The sequence below is a fragment of the Homo sapiens genome, chromosome 20 (genome assembly GCF_000001405.40).
Source record: "Homo sapiens chromosome 20, GRCh38.p14 Primary Assembly".
NCBI lineage: Eukaryota > Metazoa > Chordata > Mammalia > Primates > Hominidae > Homo > Homo sapiens.
In genome coordinates this window covers 36,478,141-36,504,395 of record NC_000020.11, presented here as the reverse complement: position 1 = coordinate 36,504,395, position 26,255 = coordinate 36,478,141, and the positions used below count along the sequence as shown (strand labels likewise).

The 26,255-nt window shown below is 50.7% G+C and overlaps 1 protein-coding gene across 17 annotated transcripts in view, besides 1 other annotated feature; it reads right to left on the bottom strand.

Moving 5' to 3' along the window:
- Window positions 1-26,255, bottom strand: part of DLGAP4 (DLG associated protein 4) — a 222,295-nt gene that overhangs the window by 24,238 nt on the left and 171,802 nt on the right. For 7 of the 17 annotated variants that reach the window (NM_001365621.2, XM_011528689.3, NM_001388262.1 and 4 more), the window contains 3 exons: window positions 7,330-7,691; window positions 4,720-4,808; window positions 3,785-4,197 (listed from right to left, as the gene is read on the bottom strand). In NM_001365621.2, coding sequence (NP_001352550.1) covers window positions 3,785-4,197; window positions 4,720-4,808; window positions 7,330-7,691 — 864 coding nt within the window. Of the gene's footprint in view, window positions 1-3,784; window positions 4,198-4,719; window positions 4,809-5,074; window positions 5,155-7,329; window positions 7,692-26,255 lie in introns of those variants that run through there. The other 10 variants (NM_001388265.1, NM_001388260.1, NM_001388271.1 and 7 more) reach the window with 5 other exon arrangements.
- Window positions 6,465-6,964: an enhancer, noted in NCBI's record as "H3K4me1 hESC enhancer chr20:35125835-35126334 (GRCh37/hg19 assembly coordinates)". NCBI's record gives its function as "activates a minimal SCP1, AML or CMV promoter by ChIP-STARR-seq in naive H9 embryonic stem cells {active_cell/tissue: H9 hESC(naive)}" and the evidence as "EXISTENCE:reporter gene assay evidence [ECO:0000049][PMID:30033119]".

Here is a 26,255-nt window from a genome sequence, read left to right as displayed (position 1 = left end):
ATATTGTACACATAATGGAATACTAGTCAGCCATAAAAATGAAAATGCTGTAACATGGATGAACCTTCAAAACATGCCAAACACAAAAGGACGAGGAAAATTCGCAGACACAGCAAGTAGAGGATACCAGCGGCTAGGCAGAGGGGATAATGGGGAATTACTGTTTAATAGGTAGATTCTATGTTTTAGATGAAAGTTTTGGAAATAGATGGTTGTGATGGTAGTGCAATATTGTGAATATAATTAATGCCACTGAATTGCACACTTAAAAACAGTTAAAAGGTAAACTTTATGTTATATATATTTTACAACAAAAAAAGGAAAACAAAAATCGAAGTTTGACCTAGCATTTCTACTCCAAAAGAAATGAATATACATCCATAAAAAACTTGTACATGAATATTCTAGCAGTATTATTCATAATAGCCAAAAAGTACAAACAACCCAAATGTCCATCAACAGAAGAATGGATAAATAAAATGTAGTGTGAAATGAAATATTATTCAGCAACAAAACGGAATGAAATACTGGCATATGCTACAACATGGATGAACCTCAAAAACATGCCAAGTGAAAGCCAGACACAAAAGGCCAAATATGGGGCCGGGTGCAGTGGCTCACGCCTGTAATCCCAGCACTTTGCACTTTGGGAGGCTGAGGTGGGCGGATCATGAGGTCAGGAGATTGAGACCATCCAGGCTAATATGGTGAAACCCCGTCTCTACCAAAAATACAAAAAATTACCCGGGCGTGGTTGGCAGGCGCCTGTAGTTCCAGCTACTGGGGAGGCTGAGGCAGGAGAATGGCGTGAACCTAGGAGGCGGAGCTTGCAGTGAGCCAAGATCGCGCCACTGCACTCCAGCCTGGAAGACAGAGCGAGACTCCGTCTCAAAAAAAAAAAAAAAAAAAAAAAAAAGGCCATATATGGTATGATTCTGTTTATATGAAATGTCCAGAATAGGCAAATCCAGAGACAGAAAGATTAGAGGTTGCCTAAGGCTGTGGGAGCGGCTCCTAATGAGCAGAGAGCATCTTTTTGGGGCAATGAACATGTTCTTAAAATAAACAGTAGTGATGGTTGCACCACACTGTGAATACACTAAGTGCCATTGTGAGTTTACTAAATGTGTACTTTAAAAGGGTGAATTTTGTGGTATGTGAATTATATCTCAGTAAAGCCATCACAGGGCAGAAGAAAAAGAGAAAAGAAAAAGAAAACCTTCGAGGAAGTCCAACAAAAAACATGAGGAAGAAAAGGTGAGAGCCTGAGGATCCACACAGCAGGTACAGCAACTAACTGACAGAAATTCTAGAGCCAGACAACAGAACAAATAGAAGTGAGAAAATTACTTTTAAAAATTAATACAAGGTGGCCAGGCATGGTGGCTCATGCCTGTAATCTCAGCATTCTGGGAAGCCAAGCCGGGCGGATTATCTGAGGTCAGGAGTTTGAGACCAGCCTGGCCAACACAGTGAAACCCCATCTCTACTAAAAATACAAAAAATTAGCTGGGCATGGTGGCACACACCTGTAATCCCAGCTACTCGGGAGGCTGAGGCAGGAGAATCACTTGAACCCAGGAGGTGGAGGTTGCAGTGAGCTGAGATCACACCACTGCACTCCAGCCTGGGCGACAGAGCAAGACTGTCTCAAAAAAATAAAAATAAAAAAAATGATGGTGCCTTTAAGATTCTGAGGGAAAATTATTTTTAACTTCATTTTTATATTTATATAGAAATTGTTGTCCGGGTGTGGTGGCTCACGTCTGTAATCCCAGCACTTTGGGAGGCCAACCCAAGAGGATGGCTTGAGCCCAGGAGTTTGAGACCAGCCTAGGCAACGCAGGGAGACCTTGTCCCTACAAAAAAATTTAAAAATTAGCTGGGCATGGTGGCACTCTGTGGTAGTCCTTTGCTACTCAGGAAGCTGAGGTGAGAGGATTACTTCGGCCCAGGAGTTTGAGGCTGCAGTGAGCTATGCTTATGCCACTGCACTTCCAACCTGGATGACAGAGTGAGGCCATGTCTCTTAAAAAATTTTTTTAAAATTTAGCAAATGGAGTGTATTTTTTAAATGTGGCAACAGGGCAAACAATTCGTTTTAGGAAAAACAAAATGTAAAAAGAAGAAAACGCAATAATAATATACTGTTAGGCTCTGCAATAAACAATATTTACATACTCATAGTAAACAGAAACACTGATTACTATTTATCATAAACTGTGATGTACACAGAGGGTGGGAGAAAGGGAGACAGAGGTTGTGTGAGAGCTAAACACTCATCTATGCCAATGGTAACAGGAAATTAATAGAAATGATGATTAATTTTAAAGAGGAAATATAATCAGTCACATTTTTTAAAAGATATATGAAGACAAATACCAGAATATACAGCTAGTAAAAACTGAAAGTGGGGAAAGGCCCAGGTAGGGCGGTGGGCTGGATGTTTTCTCTTAGAAGCCTTTTAATGCTCTCTGATCCTTGTCTCTGTTTTGATTTTTTAAAATACTATTATTGTAAAAAGTTACTAGGTACTTTCCTCACAACAGTTCCCCTGCACTAGTGGGTGTGACATCAAAGCGGGGAACTGGCCTAGAGGACAGTGAAAACAATGACTCTGATGAGTCTTCTGCATCATCAAAGGCTGCTGTCCTCAGGGCCCCCTCCATCATGTATGGGATGTGTGTCAAACCATTTGGACACTCTGAAGACCTGTCCTTCCTGAGTGTGGAGGAGTAGCTCAATGGGAACCAGAGCCACAGGTGAACCAGGTGGGTGCAGGTCAACAGCCTGGAGCTTCCCAGGACCTGCCTTCCACCACCCAACCCCCCTCCAACCACCTGTGAATCTAGGCTCCCTACACGTGTCTAGCACTTTCTTGAACTAATTTCTCAAGGGAATTTTTGGAAATTGGCATGATATAGGTAGAAACTTAAGTAGAAAATAAAAGCATAACTTCTTCACACCCTATTGAGACCCAGTTGGATCCCTGGTGCTTGGCACACAGGAAGCACTCAGTAAGAAGCTGTTGGCTGAGTGTGGTGGCTCACGCCTGTAATCCCAGCACTCTGGGAGGCAGAGGCAGGTGGATCACCTGAGGTCAGGAGTTCGAGACCAGCCTGGCCAACATGGTGAAACCCCGTCTCTACTAAAAATACAAAAATCAGCCAGGTGTGGTGGCACGTGCCTGTAGTCCCAGCTACTCAGGAGGCTGAGGCAGGAGAATTGCTTGAACTTGGGAGGCAGAGGTTTACAGTGAGCTGATATCGAGCCACTGCACTCCAGCCTGGGTGATGGAGCAAGACTCCGTCTCAAAAAAAAAAAAAAAAAAGTTGTTGAAGGCATAATTAGGCTCCCACTTTTCTCTGTGTCTGACAGGTCATCAGGCCCTTCACATGCACGACCACATTCAATCCTTACAACATGCTCATATAGTGAGCAGAGGATTAGCTCCATTTTACAGATGAGGAAATGGGGGCTCGGAGTAACCTGACCAAGGTTACTTCACTAGTAAGGGAGGAGCTGGGATTCAAACCCAGGTGTGGGTGGCCTCACAGCCTGCACAACAAACAGCTATCACCAGCAACCCTTTCTGGAAAGAGGTTTGGTTAAATAGGTGGATGGATGGAAGAATGCGAAGAAAGTAAGAAGGGAGCTCAAAAACTAGCCCAAGAAGAGAACCTAAGAGACCCCCACTCAGAAGTTCGGAAGCTGCTGGCCACCAGCTGAAACCAGCTGCCAACACCTTCTACCCTTGCCCAAGGACCATCCATGTGGCACCCACCTTCTTCAGAGAGGTTGTTCTCTTTGGTCTCCTTGTCCATCTGGCAGCACCAGCCTTCCAGCCGCTCTGTTTCTGCCTGCAGTAGCTTTAGGAACCAGTAGCCGTCTCGGCGGCAGGCCCCTGGCTGTGCCGGCTCTGCTGGGGAGCTGGAGGAGGTCTCGAGCCAGGGGTCGGGTGGGGGCAGCGAGGACGCCTCTAGGGCAGGGTCGCTGTTGTCTCCATAGGAGAGGTTGCGCTTGATCTGGGCAATCTTGGGGGCCTGCCGGGGACCGGCATCGATGCTGATGGAGTTGGGGTGAGGGGTACAGTCCGGGAGGCTCCTCTCAGATGACTTACAGCTTGAGTCATTGGCATCCTGGGTATCCGAGTCTGTGTCCCGTCGGGAGGACATACTGTGAGAGGGGACGCTGCTTCTGTGGGTAGGGGGTGGATGGGGTGGGGACAGGAAGGAGTGAGTCACCAAGAGGGCCAGAGACCAGAGGCCGCCTTGACCCGGACACACGGGAGACAGAGAAACGGATGCATCATCTGCTCACCATGCGCCTGAAGCGGGTCCCACAGCCCCCATCTCATTCTTGGCTCAGCCCTTGCCCCATCCCGCCCAAGCCCACACGCACACACACACGAGGACAAGGTCATAAGGTTGCCTGTTTACTGCAGTGGGGCCAGGAAGACCACCAGCATCAGGGCAGCTGACGCCATGTCCTGGCCCAGCCATGGCCCCCGTGGGTGACTGGTCTCACAGAGCAAATGCTCATCTGTCCACCCGCCCGCCCCTGCCCAGCCTCCCATGCCTGGGCCACCACCCGCAACCCAAACCCAGCTTGGTTATTAGAAATCCAGCAAGGAGAAGTGGGTTAGGGAGAGCAGGAGAGGTGAGAGCGGAGGGAGGGAGAGGAGAGGGGAGAAGCAGCCGCCACCTCTGTCCGACTTACCGCCAGTCGTCCTCTACCTGAACCCCGATGGACTGGAATTTGGTAGCGGGACTGGGCTCCTCTTTTGGCACTGGCTGAATGCAGTCAACCTTATTGAAGGACAACGACAGCAACGGCACGGAGACAAAGACAAAAATAAAAAACAAACACCACACTTGCTGCTGAAATTCACATTAGTGGGACGACGCAAACGGACGTGTGGACAGACAGACACGAGGCATGCGGACACTGCACGTGGGCCCGAGGCCGGACCAGGTTAAGCCGGGCACTGCTCATTCGCGTGGAGGCGGGCAGGCGGGCGGGCGGGCAGGTGGGCGGGAGGTGGGATGGGGTGGAGATGACTGGCTTTCCCTACTCTGAGGAGGGTGCCATCACATCGATCGCTTTGGGTCCGTTGTCCTCCGAGAGGTGGGAACCGTTCCTTCTAGTCCTCTCCTTCACACGCATCAGAGAGAAAAAAAAAAAAGGACGACGAAAGAGAAAGAAAACACACACACACACACAAAGCCACAGCCGTTATCTGGTGTAGTTGAAGCTGGCGGCTGTCTTGAGGCAAAGATCACTCCCTGAACCCTGTGGCAGAAACCTGGAGGGCAGGCCAGAGGCGCCTGCACTAAGGGCAAACCCTGGACGGCAGTTCTAGATTCAGAAACTGCCACCCACAGGAGCCACCGAAGTCCCTGGACGTTATTCACACTTGGCTGAGGTTACCTTTAGCACTGGGTGGCCCTGGGGAGCAGTAGGAAGGACTGGGGTCAGGGCCAAGTGGAAAGCTGTCACTCCCTCCACTCCTGTGAAGTGGAACAGGACAACAGTGATGCCCTGCGCCTGCCTTTCTTCTCTGGGACAAAGGTCCCGGGCCATGGGGCAGCCAGGCCAGCTTTCCTATCATCACTCAAGAATGAGGGAGAAACCCACACTCAATCTAGGGCATGAGGCACCAAGGGTTCAGGGCATCCTCAGAAACTGGGGACTCTTCAGTCTCTTGGCCTTGTGGAGAGAAGTAGGGGCCAGGGAAGCTTTCTGGGACAGGGATGCAGCCACATTTCCCCTCGGCAAAAGCCGGCTCAAGGAATGCAGCACCACTGGATCTCCAAGGAGCTGCAATGAGACCAAGAATGGGGCTGGGGTGAATCCAGGGAATGGGACGCCCAGGACAGGCCTAAGAGAGTCCTTATCCCGGTGTCATTTTCTGGGTGAAAGGAATCAAGGGTAGTCCTAACTCTTAGGCTTTCCGGGAAGATAAGAGCGTCTGGTTTGGCCAGCAAGAGGGTGGGGCTGCCCAAAGATATGGGTGGTCAGGACCAAGGGTTGAAGATCAGGCTACTCTCTGTGTTTCTGAGAATCCCACCTGTGCAGCGCAGGGACTGGACACTTAAGAAGCCCAGAAAACAGCAGCAGAGTCTCCTGGCCAACTCTCTCTCTGTTTATACATGGGGAAGTGGAAGCCTAGAGCTGCCTCTTGGAGGAAACAAATACAGGCAACTGCAAGAAATTGCTCAGTGAGCCTTCTCTGTTCCATTCAAGCTCCACTTTGTGTCCCACGCTCCTGCATTCCAGTGCTTTGTTATCAGCTGGGCCACATCCAATTGCTCAGGGGTGGCTGGAGGAGTCCCTTGCAGCCTGTGCCACAACACACAATGCCTCGTCCTCCCTGACTCAACCCCTGGGCTTGGGGGGGCCCTGTCTCCCCTCTCGCCCTCACCCACTGTAGCTGCCCCTCCCTCATGGCTCTGAACGTGCCCTAGTTTGGTCTGCAGGTCCAGCCAGGGCAGGGAGAGTCCACTCAATCTGGATTTAGAGAAACTCTTAAAAACTACAAGGCAGGGCCCAAGTTTCCCCAGCTCAGCAAACAAGACAGATTATTGACATCGGGTGCATGCAGGAGTGCAATGAAGCAGTGGAGGGGAAGCTGGCACACCTGCCCTGCTGTGTGCCATGACTATGGAGGGCCTGCTGACTTTGGCCACCTAACCCTGGGGAACCATCGCCTGGACCCTATCCCATGGAGGGAGGCAGTGAGACCGGCATCACCCTTCTCAATGACATGGGCCTGGTACCTCAAGCCACCTACCTGTCCCCAAGGCCCGAGAGGGCTCTGGGCAAAGTTCCCCTCGAGCAACCCCCATGGCTCAAGGGCCCTGGGTCCTGGGCCCCTGGCCCAACAGCGTCTATGCTCCATGCTGCTCCTGCCGCCAAGCGGGGCTATGGCCTCCGCACCCGAGCTGACCTTGGATTAGAGAACTGTTAGGCCAGTCCCGCCTCCCACGGGTCAGCTGGCAGGGCAAAGGGTGGAGTGGACAGACAGACAGTGGACAGGCAAACAGTGGACAGGAGATGGCTGGCTGAGTGTAACTACATTCACTGGGACAACCCACTGGAGGAGCAGAAACACATGCCCACAGCTGCTGACCAGCAGCACGTGTGGACAGATACCAGCGAGGCGTGGCTATGGGTGGAATTCGGTTTGGCCACTTGGGGCTGATCCCCCAAAATAGAGAGACAAACCACCTTTTCCCAGGAGACCTAGTGGGCCTCTACCAGATGTAATTACACACAGGCAGGTGCACGGAGTGGGCTGAGGACACAGAGTGCAAAAGGAGCCCCTACTTGTATTCCTATCGATGACAGTTTCCTTTTGGGGGCGGCCTCGGGGTGGGACTCAGAGCTGGTCAGCGTCCCTTGTTCACTTTTCAGAGCTGCATGTTTTGGGGGTGGCTCTGGGGCCTCAGGGGCTGGGGCGACTCCACCCCGTGTCACGCTGGGCGGTCGGGTACTGCTGTCCAGGCTGTCCGACGAGTTGCTCAGGCCCGACTGGCTAGTCACCTCGCTCTTGTGGTCCTGGCTGTCCAGGTAGGTGTCCTGGGCAGACTCAGTACTGCTCTGGACTGTGACTGAGATGAACGGCTTTGAAGTGGTGCGTGGAGGGACCGGTGGCGGGGTCTTCTTATACGCCACTAGGCATGATGAACCTGCAGATGGATGAGAGAAGGGCAGGGGAGAGGTGAGATGGTGAAGCCCCCAACCCTCTCAAGCCCCTTCCAATGCAGAAGCCCTGCCTGACTTGGCCCTAGCTCTGGGCTTAGCCATTCCGTCCGCAAGGATTTCTGGAGCAGGGAGAACGAGGGTCAAGACTGCAATGACCAAGACAGACACACACAGGCCCTACCCACCCTCATTCGAGACAAAGTCTTGAGGGGATGCCACCACTGGCCAAAGATATCCCCCACATCAGTCACACACAAACCTTATTATCCAGCAGGGGCATGTACTAGGTGAAGTGCGTGGGGCCACGAGGCTGTGACAGACCCTGACCCGTGCCGTGGGGAGGTGGTGACAACAGAGCAGATGCCAAAACAGCTAAGGAATGGTTAACCTTGCTATCTTCAAGGTCACTGAGAGACTCAGTGCTCCCCCTGGTCTTTTCCTTCCACACCACCTTCCCTCTCCCCTATTCCCTCTGCTTGGATGCCCCCTCTCCACCTGGTCAAAAATGAACACATCTGGCCGGGCGCAGTGGCTCACGCCTGTAGTCCCAGCATTTTGGGAGGCTGAAGTGGGCAGATCACCTGAGGTCAGGAGTTCGAGACCAGCCTGACCAACATGGAGAAACCTCATCTCTACTAAAAATACAAAATTAGCTGGGCGTGGTGGCGCATGCCTGTAATCCCAGCTACTCGGAAGGCTGAGGCAGGAGAACTGCTTGAACCTGGGAGGTGGAGGTTGCAGTGAGCCGAGGTTGCACCATTGCACTCCAGCCTGGGGAACAAAAGCAAAACTCCATCTCAAAACAAACAAACAAACAAACACATGAACAAACAAAAAAACACACATCCTTCAGGGTCCAGCTAACCCCTTTCCCTATCTTGCCATTCCCACCCCAACACTTTCTCGTTATGTGAAACCCGTACAGTGGTCTGCCTCCCTGTTCTCCACTGGTCCAACTCCCTGTTCTCCACTTTCTCCACTGAGATTCCCAGAGCCAGGACCTGCCATGGGTAGGAACCTGAACCATCTCTGAATCTCACCCTGACCCCAGCCAGGGGCTGACCCACAGCAGGAGCCCAGAACACCAAAGGCCCACTGCTTGCTTCTCAGACGATGAGAACTCTGTTGGCAATAGAAAGTGCTTTTCCAACAGTAGCTGTTTGCTGGGAGGGTGACGTTGGATCTAGTGCCTTTCTCAGCACCTTAACTCCAACTGCCTGTTGCCCTGTGAGGACTGAAACAAGCCCCTACCCTGGTCTGGGCCCATGAGCCAGATAAACTGTGCCTTCAAGGGGCTACAATCATGGTGATGGTGATAGCCCAGAGGCAACTCACAAAACAAGGCCCAGTATCACAGGAGCTGTGGACAAAGGACTGTAGAAACCATCCATCTGCCACTATGAGATACCATCACATAACCTATCAGAATGGCTAAAAAGTGACAACATCAAATGCTATTGAGAATGTGGAGAAAAAGTGATACTACTGTCATGGAAAATACATTGGCATTTTCTTATAAAAATAAAACATGCAGCTGGGCATGGTGGTACACGCCTGTAATCCTAGCTATCAGGAGGCTGAGGCAGGAGAATTGCTTAAACTTGGGAGGCGGAGGTTGCAGTGAGCCAAGATTACGCCACTGCACTCCAGCCTAGGCAATAAGAGCGAAATTCCGTCTCAAAAAAAAAAAAAAAAAAAAAAAAACCGAACAAAAAAAAAAAACCACTTTTTTACTTTTGGTAGAGATGAGGTCTCACTATGTTGCCAGGTTAGTCTCGAACTCCTGGACTCAAGGGATCCTCCTGCCTCAGTCTCCCAAAATGCTGGGATTATAGGTGTGAGCCACTGTGCCTGGCCTATAACATTCTTGAAATGACCTAGAGAACAGATTAGTAGTTGCTAGGGCAGAGGTGGTCACTAGGGAGAGGGTGAAGGGGAGGGCAAGGAGGGAAGTAGGTGTGGCTATAAAAAGGTAACAAGAGGGACCCTTGTATGAAGTGATGGAATAGTCCTGTATTGAGTGTGGGGATGGTTACATGAATGTATGCATGTGATAAAACTGCATAGCACTAACACACACACAAGTGGAACTGGGGAAATCTGAATAAGATGGGTGGATTGTATCTGTCGATATTCTGGATGTGAGAATGTATTAGTTTTGCAAGGTCTTACTATTGAGGGAAATCGAGTAAGGGGTATGAAGAATCCCTTTGTATTATTTTTTACAACTGCATGTGAATCTACAATTATCTAAAAATAAAATTTAATTTAAAATAATCCATCTGTTCATCCAATAGACATCTATGAAACCAAGGCCTTCTAGTGGATTCCAGAAAAGCCAGGAGCCCTCATCAGCAGAGAAACAGCTCTGCAGTGAGTTCTTTGAAAGTAACACATGCCACGATGTTAAGCCCAGGGAACTGGATGCTGTGCCTTGTGCCCAGCCTAGTCCAGAGGCCACAAAGTGCTCTGAGTTCCAAGCCAGGAGCACTCACTTCCTACTCGTCTGTTTGAAATGTCCCAGTCCTGCTCAGGCCTTGAGAAAACTCAGAGATCCCCCAGACAGACACCTGCATCTCTGGTTACCAACCTAAGAGCAGTGTACAGGCAGAAGGACAGCTACCTCTCTGGGCCAGAAGAAAGGCAGCAGGGAGGCAGGAGGCAGGGCTCAGGTCAAAAGAAGAATGGCTCTCCAACACATCATCCTGAGAGAGGAGGGACACGCCTGCTCAGCGAAGAGGAGCAACTGCGTTCAGCTGGCCACAAGGCACAGGCTGCGGGCCAAAAGCTGGGTCATTTACTAAGCTGTGCTCAGCAGCTTTGCGGCTTTCTAACGTAAGCCTCAGAGCCTGTGAGGTGGAGATCGTGACTATGCCCACTTTGCAGGTGGGGCACGTGAAGCTCAGGAAGGTTATACAACTTGCTCAAAGTTGCAGGAGTAAGCAGCAGCCGCATCTGCTCCACGGCACAGCCACCTCACTCTGCTCTCCAGGCCTTGGGCCCCTCCTCGCTGGGCTGGGCTGGGCTGGGCTGCCGGTGTTTGGGGCCTTCACTCATCACCACATCCCTACAGCATCCTGCTGGGCCCTGGGACCAGTCTGCAGGGGCACAACAAACCAAAATCTGACTGTGGGAGTAGAAAGGGCCTCGACGGAGGCAGAGGCCTGGCTTCCAGGCTCCTGCTTGCCCTCTGGGCTTCTCAGAACTCTCCTCTGTTCCGGAAGGGCGGGAGGGATTCTCACTGGGTCACAGCATACTGCATTCACACAGCCCCTGACAAACTCAAAGCACTGCCCCATTCATCTTCTCCCTCAAGGATGGGTGTGGAGCCTCCCATCACTGTGACTGCAGGGAAGATCCCCTCTGCGAATGCCCTCTCCACTGATGTCTGAAATCCTGAAATTCTCTAGTTTCAGAGTCATTTTGGTGGTAAGGGTCCAGAAGCCAGGGGGCAGTGTGGAACCAGACTAGCCTGAGTTCAGGTCCCAGCTCTTGTCACTGACCTGTTGTATGGCCCCAGTTTCCTCCTTGTAAAATGGGTGTGATTACATAGGTTGCATTGCAGAAGCTAAGGCTGGGCCAGGCCTAGGCTTGGCATCACTCCTCATTTCTGGTACAGACACAACTGGGCCTGTGGGTAGGGTGGGGATGGGGGGGCGAGCCAAATTTCTACCACTCCCCAGCCACTGGCAGGGAGTCTGGGCTGGTTCTCTGACTGGCCCAGGGACAGTTTCCACCAAGACCTGGACGTTTGTTTAGAGCAACTCTTGAAATCTATGGCCACCAGCAGAGACAGGACTAACTCACTGAGGATTTCAGGAAAGGAATGGATTTGTTTGACCTAAAGTCCCAAACAAATGGGGTTTTTTGCCCTAGATCAGAAAACGGAAGCCAACCTCAATTTGCTCAAAATGTTTAAGGGAGTATATCTCCCTTAGGAGGGTAGCAGTTAGTATGGGGGAGCAAGAACTGGGCACTAAGCCTAGCTTAGGCTGTGTGACACCAGAGTCCTTGTTCCCATCTGTGGGGTAGGGATGACACTGTCCATGAAGAGTGTGCATGCAGCATTCACGAGGTTCTGGTGGGAAGAGGCACACCTTCTTCCCAATGGAAGACAACAGGACTGCCCACAGTCAGGGTCTGGACAAAGGACTGACCCTCCAGCCTCTCTCTCAGAGCTGCTGGGCCCAGAGTTCTACTAAGCACCCTCAGACGCCCTGAGCCCTGGCCTAGGCAGCCAGTCATCAGAGGGAAAGTAACCCAGCCAGAAAGCAAGTCCAGGCCTGATTCGGTAAGAGGAAAGTGAGCTGATCTTGGATCCTCTGTCTCCTGAGGCACACACAGGCCACAGCCAGATAAGTGGTGTTGTCTAGCATACAAGATTTTGGGGCTTCAGGGGCTCCCTGGGGGACAGGCACCCCTCAGCTCTGAGTATTGCCTCCCTGAAGCAGGGAGATGGGACCTAACCTTGTACAGGAGAGCTCTCATTTCAAATGTGTGAATGCAGGAAATATAGTGAGGAAATACCTCACCCCCACCTCTTCCAATACCTCACCCCGGCCACTTCCTCCCCCGCTGGGGCCTTCACACATACTGTTCTTCTGCCTGGAAGGCTTCCCTCAGCTACCCACAAGTTTCAGAATTTCTTCCTCTGAGAGCCTCCCGACTGCCGTCTCTTCTTCCACCTGGGAATCTCCATCAGAGCACTGACCACATCAGTCCACGGGCTTGGAGGAGTCAACTGACAGCTACAGGCCTGGGGCAATTGAGGGAACTCTGTCCTGACAAATCATGCCACATGCCAGGATTGGGGTTATGCCTCAAGCACAAAGGCTCTCAATAATTTGTTGAAAGAGAAAATAAACCTCATTATCACTACAAAAACCCTCAGTTGCCAAAAACCCAGATTATTTGGCCATATAGCAAAGGCTCCCAACACTTTAGTATCCAAGGTTCTAGGGCTCCTCCCAAACCTGAGCCCTTTTTGCTTGGTCCCTGCCCATCCATCTCAGCAGCTTCATCTCATGCCCCTCCCACCCCCTCAGCATACCCCTTCCAGCTTCAGAGAACCAAATGCACAGTGCACCATTCCCAAACACGGCACACCTCCGTGCATCCAAGCCTTTACACATGCATGGGTTTCTGCTGGAGCCCCCTTCCCCTGTTCTCCATGCTTCCTGCCAGCCCCTAAACCACAGCACGTGAAACCACCCATCCCCATGGGCTGCATGCTTGCTTCTCCTGACCCCCTCTCAGCCATGCAGGTCCCTCATGCCACAGCCCAGACACAAGCCAGTTGTGCGATGCATCCTCCGTGCAGCCTGCTCCCAGCCCCAGGTATCTAGCCCAGCCTCCCTACCTCGCAGCACCTAAGTCCTTGCTTCTTCTAGAGAAGCTTCCTTTATCTCATTATTTCTGTCTTCTACCCCAAGATTTTATCCTCCAAACTGTATTTATCAGGTCAGAATGAATTTGTTTCTGCATTTTTTTTTTTTTTGAGACAGAGTCTTGTTCTGTCGCCCAGGCTGGAGTGCAGTGGTGCGATCTTGGCTCACTGCATCCTCCACTTCCCAGGCCTCAGCCTCCTGAGTAGCTGGGATTACAGGCATGCACCACCATGCCTGGCTAATTTTTGTATTTTTTTTTTTTTTTTTTTTTAGTAGAGATGGGGTTTCACCATGTTGGTCAGGCTGGTCTTGAACTCTTGACCTCGTGATCCGCCCACCTTGGCCTCCCAAAGTGCTGGGATTACAGGCGTGAGCCACCGTGCCCGGCCTGCATTTTGTTTTTTATTGTAAAGGTTATAAGCTGGCCAAACAGAGCTTCAAATACTCAGGAGTGGCTGTGACTCCATTTCCCGAGGGATGCGGAGGACACAGCAACCTCAAGAAGCTAGCCCCCTGCATGTGTCTTGGAGGCCAGGCTGAACTTGGTCCTGAGGCCTAACACGGGCCTCATGCCTGCTGGCTCCCAGGTGCCTGAGGGGGCAAAGGAGAGGCGGTCTACACTCCTCAAGAGGAACAGGTGCCCTGGGGCCACAGACAACCTGGAAGCCATGGCTCAGGCTTTACAGCAAAGACAGTGGGGCCGGGCTCAAGGCCCCCATGAATGGATGAAGCTGACCCCAGAGAAAGGCAGACTCCCTTAACTCCCTTTGCTGGTACTGCCAAGCTAGGGAAAAGGCTCATTAGTGGAAGGGCTGAGGGCTGGTTAAGATCCCACTCCCTCTCCCAGCCAGCAAGTAACTTGTCAAACCACACAGCTAAATTGGGCAACTCATCTGTATGCTATGATAAAAACAGCTCAAAGACTCCCACCCACCCAGCCTCAAATCCTTCCCTCCTTTCCTCTGCTTCTTTCTCCCAAGGCAGAAGCAGCTGGGAAGAGAATTCCAAGCAGCTAGGTCAGGATCAGGGACACATTGCCTTCTCAAAGCCACTTCTCTGTTGACAGTCCATGTGACCCTCTCCTTTCCCACTGTTTCAGTCGGAGAGCCACCTCCCTCACTGTGCCTTAAGAAATAGCAACACTGGCCGGGCGCGGAGGCTCACACCTGTAATTCCAACGTTTTGAGAGGCCGAGGTGGGTGGATCATCTGAGGTCAGGAGTTCGAGACCAGCCTGGCCAACACAGGGTAACCCATCTCTACTAAAAATACAAAAAATAGCCGGGTGTGGTGGTGTAGACCTGTAATTCCAGCTACTAGGGAGGCTGAGGCAAGAGAATTGCTTGAACCCGGGAGGCAAAGGTTGCAGTGAGCCAGGATTGCGCCACTGCACTCCAGCCTGGGTGACAGAGCAAGACTCCATCAAAAAAAAAAAAAAAAAAAAAAAGAAGAATTAGCAACATCAAACTTTACTTTCAAACTCCAGCAAGAGGGACTGGCAGCCCCTCTCACGGCAGCATCCTCCCAAGTCCTTCTGGGGATCCTCCTCTGCCCTTCACAGCCAGGCCCCTCCCATCCTTACCTTCTCCCCGTGATCTGGAGCCAGCCTCCCTGAGACTACCACAGATGCCCCCTGGCCTTCCGACCTCTTGTCCCTCTTCCACCCCAGCCATTTGAGGAATCCAATCATGTCACTGTTTGAAACTATTCAGTGGCACCACAACCTGAAACCATTCAATGGTTTGTAGACTTGGAACAAACAAACCCTTCAGTGGGGGCATTCAGGGCCTCAAGGATCTGCATCTACCTCGGACCCAAACATCCACAGAAGCCAAGAAGTTAAAAAGGTGTCAGGCTGATGAAGACAAAGCCATAAAGCTCAGGGAGCTAGCTCTGTCCTTGGAGCCTGGTACAGAAGCTATGATGCACTCCCTTCGGTAATGATTCTGATGCTAACAGCTGACCTTACTGAGTGCTAACCATGGCCAGGCCTGAGCAGGTACTTCATATACAGCTGATCCTACTTACTAATTCTATATGTGCAAAATCACCTACTCACTTGAATTTACTTGCAAAACCAACACTTAAGGGGCTCGCAGACATGTGCCCGCTACACACAACCCCAGCTGAGGTGGAACAAGGTGACACTCCACCTTCTCACTGCAGCTCTCATACTGTAAACAAGTGTCCTTTCGCAGGTCTATTTAGTGCTATACTTTTCCCATTTGTGGGCTTTCTGTTGGTGACTTCACTGTTTAAAATGGCACCTACATAATGCTGAAGCACTGCCCAGTGTTCTCAGTGCAAGAAGGCTGTGATGTCCCTTATGGAGAAAAGTGTTAGGTACGCTTCATCCATGCATGAGTCATAGTGCTGCTGGCCATGAGTTCAATGTTAATGAATCAATAGTATATTAAGTAAAGAATCTTTCAGCTGGGCACAGTGGCTCACGCCTGTAATCCCAGCACTTTGGGAGGCTGAGGCGGGCAGATCACTTGAGGTCAGGAGACCAGCCTGGCCAACATAGCAAAACCCCGTCTCTACTGAAAATACAAAAATTAGCTGGGTGTGGTGGTGGATGCCTGTAGTCCCAGCTATTTGGGAGGCTGAGGTGGGAGAATCACTTGAACCTGGGAGGCAGAGGGTGCAGTGAGCCAAGATTGCACCACTGCACACTCTAGCCTGGGCAACAAGAGACCCTGTCTCAAAAAAAAAAAAAAATCTTTCAACAGAGACACACATAAAACAAGGTTATGGATTGATTGGTTGGTTGGTAGAAACATTATGACCACAGGCTTGCAGTGACCCTATACTGCCCAGAAGAGCAATGGTTTAGCATTCACTATGACTCTGTGAACATAACTACAGTGAATGAGAATCTACTTTAGCTATCCTTTAGCTGACTGAATCCTCAAAACCAGTATGAAGGAGGTTCCTATTTCCCAAATGTAAATGCCCCATGTTACAGAGAGGTGGAGATTTGCCTGCACTCACCTCCCAGCTAGGCAGTGCTGAGGCCGCGGCCTGAAACCAGGGTGCCTGAAGGCTGACCACTACTCGATGGCCCCTCTGCTGCACTAACTGCTTTTTTTTTTTTTTTTTTGAGACAGAGTCTCACTCTGTTGCCCAGGCTGGAGTGCAGTGGAGCAATCTTGGCTTACTGCAACCTCTGCCTCCCGGGTTCAAGCGATTCTCCTGCCTCAGCCTCCTGAGTAGCTGGGATTATAGGCGCGCGCCACCATGCCCGGCTAATTTTTGTATTTTTAGTAGAGACGGGGTTTCACCATGTTGGCCAGGCTGGTCTCAAACTCCCAACCTCGTGATCCACCCGCCTCAGCCTCCCAAAGTGCTGGGATTACAGGCATGAGCCACCACGCCCGGCGCACTAACTGCCTTTTACATGGCAGTTGTTTTACCCATAAAAATAGGATGTGATACTCAATGTGCTCCGGGTAGGAGCCAAGGAGCTGACAGGCATGAGGTATTTTTTGATCTTGGGGTGGGCCCATGCCAATTTTGTTACCATGGTTTCTGGATTAAGGAGAAAGTGATTGCCTTCTGGGAGGCAATCTGGGGGCCTTTCTGGAAGACACTAAGGTTGCCTGCGTCTAGATGGGTGGTGAGAGTCGCTTAGTGGCAAGGAAATACAGAGCTTTCTGGTGAAGGGACCCTCTGTGAGCAAAGGAGCAGGGCGGGACAGTCCAAGGCATGGGAGGACAGATGCTGAGTGGGGCACAGTTTGGCAAAATGTAACTTAGGTACCTTAGCTCGTGGAGGGAGGATAGGGATTGAGGAAAGGAGATCCAAGGAAGGCTGCCTCCTCTCAGGATCCTCAGCTTCCTGGGGCTGCTCTAAGCAGCAATGGGAACAGAGGCACCTTCTTCCTGCCCATAGCATCCCATTTCTCATGAAGTCCCTCCAGACTGGCCCATGGGCAGATAATTTTACAGTGCACAGGCACTGAAAGCAGTTAGGAGGGAGTATCACCTACTATCTCAAGAGTCCCAGTGCACTAGGCAGCTGTGCCAGGGAGTGCCAAGGCCATTCAAGTTGAGTGTGTCCAGAATGAATCTGAATCCTCTCCTCCTTCACATCAGCCTTGCTCTCCCAGAGAGGGGGCCCTGAACACTCAGTTATACACTCCAGAAGCATGGAAATTCCCATCTCCTCCTTCCACCCTCCTCCATCTGCAGAGCCTCACCTCTCTACCGCAAAAGCACAGCTAACAGAGACCAGCGTCTCTCCACCCCAGCAGGCCTGGTCTTTTGCGTCCCTGTTTTCTCTATGGCCCATCTTACCCACAATCACTCTTGGAACCCTGACAGTTTTTAAAAGCTCAAACTGGATTGCTTCTCCCCTTTTCTGAAGCTTTTCAAAGGCTCCCCATTCCAGGCCGGGTGAGGTGGCTCACACCTGTTATCTCAGCACTATGGGAGGCTGACGCGGGCGGATCACCTGAGGTCAGGAGTTTGAGACCAGCCTGGCCAACATGGTGAAACCCCGCCTCTACTAAAAATACAAAAAATTGGCCGGGTGTGGTGGCGCAGGCCTGTAATCCCAGCTACTCAGGGGGCTGAAACAGGAGAATCACTTGAACCTGGGAGGTGGAGGTTGCAGTGAGCCGAGATTGCGCCACTACACTCCAGCCTGTGCAACTGAAGCAAAATTTCATCTCAAAAAAAAGGCTCCCCATTCCATACAGAATAAAATCCACATTGCTTACCTTAGCCTACAATAGGAACTGGCCCACCCTCCCCTCCCTAATTCCATTCCAGCCACACCAGCCTTTTGCTATTCCTCAAATGCTCCAAGCATGTTCCCACGTGGGGCCTTTGGACCTGCCATGCCCTGTCTGAAACTAACTTCACCCTCATGTTGGCATGTCTGCTCCTTCTCATCATGATTTTAGGTCCAGCTCAAGTAGCATGTCTTCAGTGAGGGCCTCCCTGACCATCCAGTCTAAAGCTATTATTCTTTAAGGACTCTGCTTGTTTCATTCAAGCACTGGTCATTTATTAGCTCACATGTCTTTGGTCTCTCTCCTCTACCAGATAGGGAACCTGAGTATCTGATACAGGTCCCTGATGGTGGGGACCTTGAGTATCTTATATAATCATGGTGCTTTCTCAGTACCAGGCTCAATACATGGTTGGGCTCAGTAAATATTTACTGAACGAATGAACAAACCCCTATTTGACAACTGGGTAAACAGAGGCACATGGAAGCAGAATGATTTATTCCTGGTCTTTTAGTTTGGATCTAATCCCCAGGGCCAGGGCTTTGAACTCCCTTCAGATCACGCCCCACCACACACAGGAGCACAGTCTGGTGGGAGGTAGAGCCTTGAGCAAATCTGCTTGAAGCTGGGCAATGAAGCTGTGGGAATGAGAGTGCAACAAACCCTCGGCACGGAGCAATGGAAAGTGTGTGAAAAATAATCATTTCTGAAAAGTGGCAGAGAAAGCATGTGGTGCTTCCAGCAACACTTTCCAGGCAAGGTGTAGCATTTGTACAGATTTAAAAGAATCATTACGGAGGCCTGGGCCAGGTGCTACTTTATCCTGACACAGCTCTGGGAGGAGTGGTAATTATCACTGATACTTTACAGATGGGAGAAGAGGCTTTTTACTCTTATGAGTGGCAGCGCAGAAAGCTCTGCTCTGCAAGGCCAGGCTGCCAGGATCTAAAATCAATGCTGGCCATGGTGGGCTGTGTACTCTGCACAGGGCCTGAGTCCCTTCTGGGCCTTAGTTTCCACAGCTGTAAACTAAGTGGGTTGTCCCTGAACGGGGGTCACAGTTCAAATGTGCACAGGGCATCAACCCTTTCTGGCTCACAGCTGCCATGTTGGAAACCTGGGCCCAGCGTTGTCAGAGCTGCCAAATGTACCAGAAATCTGGATTTTAAAATATACATTTCAAATTAGCTAGCAGTTTTTTTTTTTTTTTTTTGGGACAGGGTCTCACTCTGTCATGGCTCACTGCAGCCTTGACCTCTGGGCTCAAATGATCCTCCCACCTCAGTCTCCCAAGTAGCTGGGGCCACAGGCATGCTCCATCATGCCTGGCTCATTTTTAATTTTTTGTAGAGATGGGGTCTTTGTTGCCCAAGCTGGTCTCAAACTCCTGGGCTCAAGCAACCCTCTGGACTTGGCCTCCAAAAGTGCTGGGATTACTGGCGCGAGCCACCTCGCCCGGCCAAAGAAAATAATTTGAATATTCCCAGCACATAGAAAAATGTTTAAGGTGATGGATATCCTAATTACTCTTATTTGATCATTACATATTATATGGATATATTAAAATATCACATCTACCCTGAAAATATGTATATCTATTATATATCAATAGAAGAATCATTTGAGGAACAGTCAGTGGAAAAAAAATCAATTGGCAAAAAAACTCCTCTGAATTTTCAAATGGTGTTAATTTATAATTTTAAGAAATACAATGCAGGTGCACGTGCAGCGGCAGTGGCCCATGGCACACGAGTCTATCACTGCCGCAGCAGCTGCCCCAGACCTCCTTGTTCCTTCTAGGGCTCCAGCCCCCTCCCTTGCTCCCCAGGAAGACTGTCCATCAGAGCCTCCTCTCGGAAAGGCAGGAGCCTGGTGGGAACCTTGAGGTGGAGGCAGCCAGGAGGAACTTCTAGTGGTGTCTCAGTTCCGGCTGGGTGAAAGCAGAGAAAGTCCCTTTTGGCCGGAAGGCCAGGTCTGGTTTCAGGCTCTTGGCACCAGGACACAGGTGGCAGGAGAGCTGTATCCACAGTGCAGACAGCCACCCTCCTTCAGGGGCCTGGAGCAGAGGCCTGAGAGGGACCTGCTCAGTTGCCAGAGCAATGCCTCCACCCCACCCCAGCTGCTCCTTAGGAGAGCTGCTCACTCCCCAGTTGGGGTCAAGGGTATGAGGGGCTTTTTTCCTGACATGTTGGGGTCACAGGAGTCAGAGAAGAGGTTAAGCGATGCTTCTAGGCACACCCACAGTCCAGGGCGGCAGGTCCTCAGTGGGTGGGAAGCTGTCTGCTGGCTGTCCATGACATCTCCCACTGACAGAGGGCTGGACATGAACTGGCCTAGCATGAAGCACTTTAACTATATCGGCTCACCAACTCTTCACCAGGCCTACCATTCTGATTTCAAGGAGAAAAAATAAACAAACAAAAAACCCCTGAGGCTCAGAGAAGTGAGTAGCCCAGGATTACACAGACAGGAAGTGGAAAAGCCAGAATTTGAGCCCAGGCTTTCCTCCCAGAGCCAGTGCATTTAGCTGCTCTTTAGCCACGGCCTCCAGGGCTGGGAGTTAGGTGCCACCTGCCAGAGCCTGGCTGAGATCCTGGCCAGGCCAGTTCCCCAGTCAGGGCCTAAAAGGGCCTAAATGGGCCCTTTATTCCTGGGGTCTTCAGGCAGGGTTTGACTATTTCCTGAGTGGGTTAGAGGGTGGCAGCTCTGGCTCTGCTGACCATGAGGACAGGGGCCTGGTGACCGCTGGTGCAGAACCCCAGCACATGGCTAAGGTGCCCATGCTGCCTGTCCACTGTCCTCCTTCAGGTCCTGCTTCCAGACACATGGCCCCACATGCTCTGACTCTCTCACCAGGAACACCGGAACCACTCACATGGGTTCCCAGCCACTTAGGACTTCTCCAGCGTGGCTGAGTCTGGTTCTGGGGATTCCCAAGGGGGCCTGAGGAAGGCTCTTTGGACTCTCACCCCACCCCAGGTCCCTCAGAACAGCCCCATTTCCCCTTTTTTCTCTGTACAGAATTCCCACATGTTATTCTGAGACCTACCAGACTAATTCACTCTCTCATAGTACACATAAAAAAGGACCAGGAAGGCAAATGCATGAGCTGAGGATCTGGCAGCAGAGCAGGGACCCTTGCCTGGGGCTATGAGTGTGGGAATGTTCCTGGTTTCCCCCCAGCCTGGAGAACACCAGTTCCGGGCATTCAGGGAGGCATCCTCCCGTAGCTGAGCTCTGCCTCCTCTAGCCCCTGACCACTGACCTCCAAATAGTATGTCCAAATAGCATGTAGTTTCTGAAAAACCATTTCTACTACCACTGCAGCCATATCCAGTAAGCAGCCTGTCAGGAACCATCCACTCCTCACCCATTATGTATTGGAATCTGCCACAAACATCATTTTATTTATCCTCAGAGACCCACCTGCAGAGTCTGCTCTGCCAAGAGCTCTGCTCAGTGGTCCCTGCCCCAGCCCACCCTGGACACCTTATTACCATCATCCCTAGGAATCCAAGCTTTAAAGAGATGGTAGCGCCCAAGCTACTGTTACTAAATCACGATCTTGTTGTTTATCAAAGCTATAACCATTTGGCCGGGCATGGTGGCTCATGCCTGTAATCTCAGCGATTTGGGAGGCTGAGGCAGGGGGATCACTTGAGGTCAGGAGTTTGAGACCAGCCTGGCCAACATGGTGAAACCCTGTCTCTACTAAAAATACAAAAATTAGCCGGGCATGGTATCTCATGCCAGTAATCCCAGCTACTCAGGAGGCTGAGGTGTGGGGATCACTTGAACCCGGGAGACAGAGGTTGTAGTGAACCAAGATCATGCCACTGCACTCCAGCCTGGACAACAGAGTTAGACCCTGTCTCAAAAAAACAAAAACAAAAACAAAAAAACAACCCACGAGAAGCAGGTGCTAGTAAGCAGGAGAAACCGCCCAGTTACAAAGCTGCCTCGGCTCCAGCCCAGTGCAAAAACTTGACATGTGCAGCCCGCTTGGTCTGGTGAAGGACTGAGGGTAGAGAATGCAAAATGTGGCTTTTCAAATACTGGCTGTATCATACGAGCTTTGCTGCTACCTTTCCAAAGCCCTAAGATCCCAGAGCCCAGCCTGGGAAGTATTACTTGGAAAGAGCCTCAAAAAAACTACCCTCACTTCTGGAGGGCTGATGTCAATGGAGGGCTGACTTCAAACCCTGGCGATAGGTCACAAAAGCCCGGCTTTCACCAACTGTCATAGGCTGTGTGTCCAGTGTGCAAAGCCAGACGCTGCCAGGCCCTGTGCACCTCGATTGCTGGCCTCTTTCACCATTCTGAATGACCAAGCGAATCCCAGAATAGAAAGGCAGTGTTAACAAGCTCATTCACTGGGCCTGGAGTGGCAGGTGGCATATCAGGTGACAGGAGTAGGAGCCAAGATCCCTCGGCAGCCTAGAGTTGGGATGAGACGAATAGTGCAGGACTGAATGGGGAAAACCGTGAGTTCACTTCAGGTCAGCAGAGGTAATGCTGCCTGTCTCTGTGCCAGGCACACCCGGGGGACAGAGACACAGAAAAACAGAGGGATTTTTTTTCCCTCAGAGCTTATATTAAGACCCTGAGTTTGGGAACCCAAGTAAGACAATTACACAAGAAAAGCGGCATATGTGGAAAAATGGCTTAGTGACGTCAGCTGACCACAGACACTGAGGATGCACTGTTACAGGAAAGTCACAGGACCAGAGAGGGCGCAGTCCCCACTGAACTCTGGATAATACTGAGGGTATCATAGGTAATTCCAGGCAAGGGATATCGTCAAACTGGAACCTGAAGACAGAAGGTGATCCACACAGGGAGAAGTCTCAACTCCACCCCATTCCAGCAAATGCTTATTTACAGAGGGAAAGCCATGCACAGTGCCAGCCACTAGGGACCCAGAATGAGTAGTCCTTGTCCTCAAGAAACCCATAGAAATGTGGAGATGACAATGAAAAGCCTCCTCCACTGACTGGGCACTGTGGCAGCCATATGGAGTTGCATGAGAAAGCCCAGGACTGATTCAACAAGTGATTAGTGTGTCTGGGACGGACTTGTCACAAACGGGGCGTGTGACACATATGCACCAAAAGTTGTGCTTAGCGTAAAGTGAGGGATGGCTTGGAGAGGCTAGGATGGTCACCCTGGAGAAGAGAGACAATTTAAAAGGGCATGGCTACTGTCCTCAAATACCTAAAAGACTGTCAAATACACATGTAGCCCCAGAGGGTCACACTACAATCAGAGGGGAAAAGGAAGGTGGGGATTGTTAATGGAAGTAAATTTTGACTAATTATAAAGAGGAGCTTTCTAAGAAGCAGAGCTGGCCAAAGATGGAAGAAGGACCTAGAAAATGGCCAGCCAGGCTAGACACAGGCAGGATGGATGCCAGGGAGGAAACTGAAGTCCCCATGGGTGTGACTTTTAAGATTCCTACCGGGCCTGAGACGCTCTTTGCCCTTCTACTTTACATCCAGTTCTGGACGTGATACCACACATCATCTTTGTGTGCATGACATTCATAGTTCAACATTTTTTTTTTGAGACAGTCTCACTGTCATCCAGGCTGGAGTGCAGTGGTATGATCACAGCTCACTGCAGCCTTGATAGCCCGGGCTCAAGCAATCCTCTCACCTCAGCCTCCCAAGTAACTGGAACCACAGGGGTGCACCACCATGCCTGGCTAATTTTTTTAGTTTTTGTAGAGATGAGGTCTCACTATGTTGCCCATGCTGTACTAGAACTCCTGGGCTTAAGCAATTTTTCCACCTAGGCCTCCTGAAGTGCTGGGATTACAGGCGTTGAGTTACCGTGCCCAGCCAACTTTTTGTTTAGAGACAGGGTTTCACTCTGTCACCTAGGCTGGAGTACAGGGTGTGATCATAGTTCACTGTAGCTTCAACTTCCTGGGCTCAAGTGATCCTCCCACGTCAGCCTCCCGAGTAGCTAGGACTACAGACATGTACCACTGCTCCTGACTAATTTTTTTAATTTTAATTTTTTGTAGAGACAGGGTCTCACTATGTTGCCCAGACTGATCTCAAACTCCTGGGCTCAAGCCATCATCTCACCCTGGTCTTCCAAGTGCTGGGATTACAGGCGTGAGCCACTGGTCTTTTTTACCCCCCTACCTCCGGAGAATTGTTATCAACAAACAGCGAAATACAAAATGAGAATGTTCACACAGCCTAGCCACACGGGAAATCTTGTGAGGACTAACACCAGGGCTTCAGACAGCAAAGTCTGGAAGTAAAACACCTTCGTCTGGGAAGTCTAGCTGCATAAGAGCTCCCATCTGAGATGATAAATCCATCCTCAGAATAGGAGATCAGCTGATACTTGCTACCCTGCCCCCTTCAAAATACCTGCTATGACAGAAACTGCCAGTAGGTTAGGAATCCCTGGAATCAGCCTTCATTCAGTGTATGACTTAAGCTCCTGGGTCTGAATTTCTCCCATCTATAAAATGAGAATAATGCGGCTTGCCCTGTCTATTGCCCTAGGACTGCTGTGAGTTTCCCAAGACAGGTGGGAAAGGGCTTGGCAGGTGAGGAACTGTCATTACAATTGCCTGAGGAGCCTAAACATCTCCTGAGCAAAGGGCCCACGGAGCTGCTGCCCAATCCCAGGCCCTCCATGGACTCTGCATGCCAGAAGCTGAGGATTTCTGGCCTGGGGCAGAAATGAGGGGTCTCATCCTGTCCAAGGACTAAGTTCGGGAAGATTCATTGCCCTGCCCAGCACCCCCAACCATCCAGCCCCTCGACACCGCACTGTAGCAGCACCATTCTAACATTTTAGTGTAGGGACCACTGGCCTCTCTGCCTTGTCAATCACCCCTCTAACTCTCCATCACCCCCTTCATGCCAACACACCATGCTCAGCTTCCAGGCCTCTGTGCTGCCTGAACACCCTCTTCCTCACTGATTCTGCCTCCTCCTTTAGGTATCAGTTCCAGCATCACTCCTGCCAAAAAGCCTTCCCTAACAGTCTTCCCAGGCCCCTGCCCTGGCTCACTCACTGAACAACATCCCACATTCAGGCACACCACAGGCCCTTGCCCACCACACTATTTTTACAAACCTCTTTACTTTTCTGCTTCCTCCTTTAGACCCTGAGCCTCCTGAAGGCAGGGTGGCATCCCTGTGACCTCCAATCCTGGCTCAAAAGAGGTACCCAGGTGAATGCCTGTTGACACTTAGGAGGCAGAACCCCACCCTCTCATTTCACCCTAAAAATGACACAGGCTGGCAGAGCCCTCATCCTAGAAGACTTTGAAGACTCTAAGTAGAGAAGAGTAAGAGACAACTTGGCAAGCAGATGACAGTGATGCTGGAACAAGTCTTGACTATATGTCCCCTCATGCCCACAGAGCCCGCCCCACTCAACGTTCCTCTCAACTACCTCTGAAAGCACAACATGGTAACATCTGGGAAGATGTCTTTGAAAGAACATCTACCAATCAGAAGGTCACCAACCACCCCATCCTGTCCATAGAACTCTGCCCCAACAATGGCACAGGGTCAGCCACACTGAGGAGTGGCTGAACATTAGTGGCTAATAATCACAGTTGCCAGATGTTTTTCACCTGCTCAGGAATTGGTGGTTATTGCAGTAGCCCAATCACCATCTGAGGTCCTAACCTCTGCATCTTACATTTGATCCCCTCAAGGAGATGTTTTCATCATCACCCCTGTGCTACTAAGGAAAAAGGAGGCTCAGAGAGGTTGAAGGCTCTGTTCGGGATCACACAGTGAGTCATGTTCTATCTGCTAAGTGAGTACAAACCCTACAGGTTTCAACTTCCAGAATGCAACCTTCACAGGATCCAGCCTCACAAGTAGTAAAAATACAAGCTTGCTTCGGCAAGACTGACACATACATTCCTACAAAGCTTAGAAGCTGCTGTAGATAGCCAAGTTTGTCCTCCTGCTCTGGTTGGTGGAATCTGACTACAGTACACTCTCATAAACATCCCGAGGCCAGGCAGCATCCCAAGAAACATCTGGAGAAAACAGACTTTACCTTGATAACATCTACCCCCTGGGAGCTGCTCTGCCCTGATGTTTTTGCAAACATACTTCCGAAGGCTTCGAACTGTCCTGCCAGACTCTTTTCTGCTCTCACAAAGAGACCTGTGACATCAATTGCCCTTCATAGTCCTTTCCCCTCCCAGGACTGCCACCCATCTGTAAAAGCAGGGGACTGCACTAGATTAGGGAGGGCACAGATTCCACTGGGCATGCTACTTCTGGTTGATTGGTTTTGCCTGTGTCGAGAAGACTCCTCACGCTGTATCCAGGGGTCAATGGGAGTGCTGTGGCTGATGCTGTCTGCCATGGGTCCAGTAGGAGGGGTAATTGCCCAGTGCAAGATATTTGCTGTCCCTGGACAAGATGATCA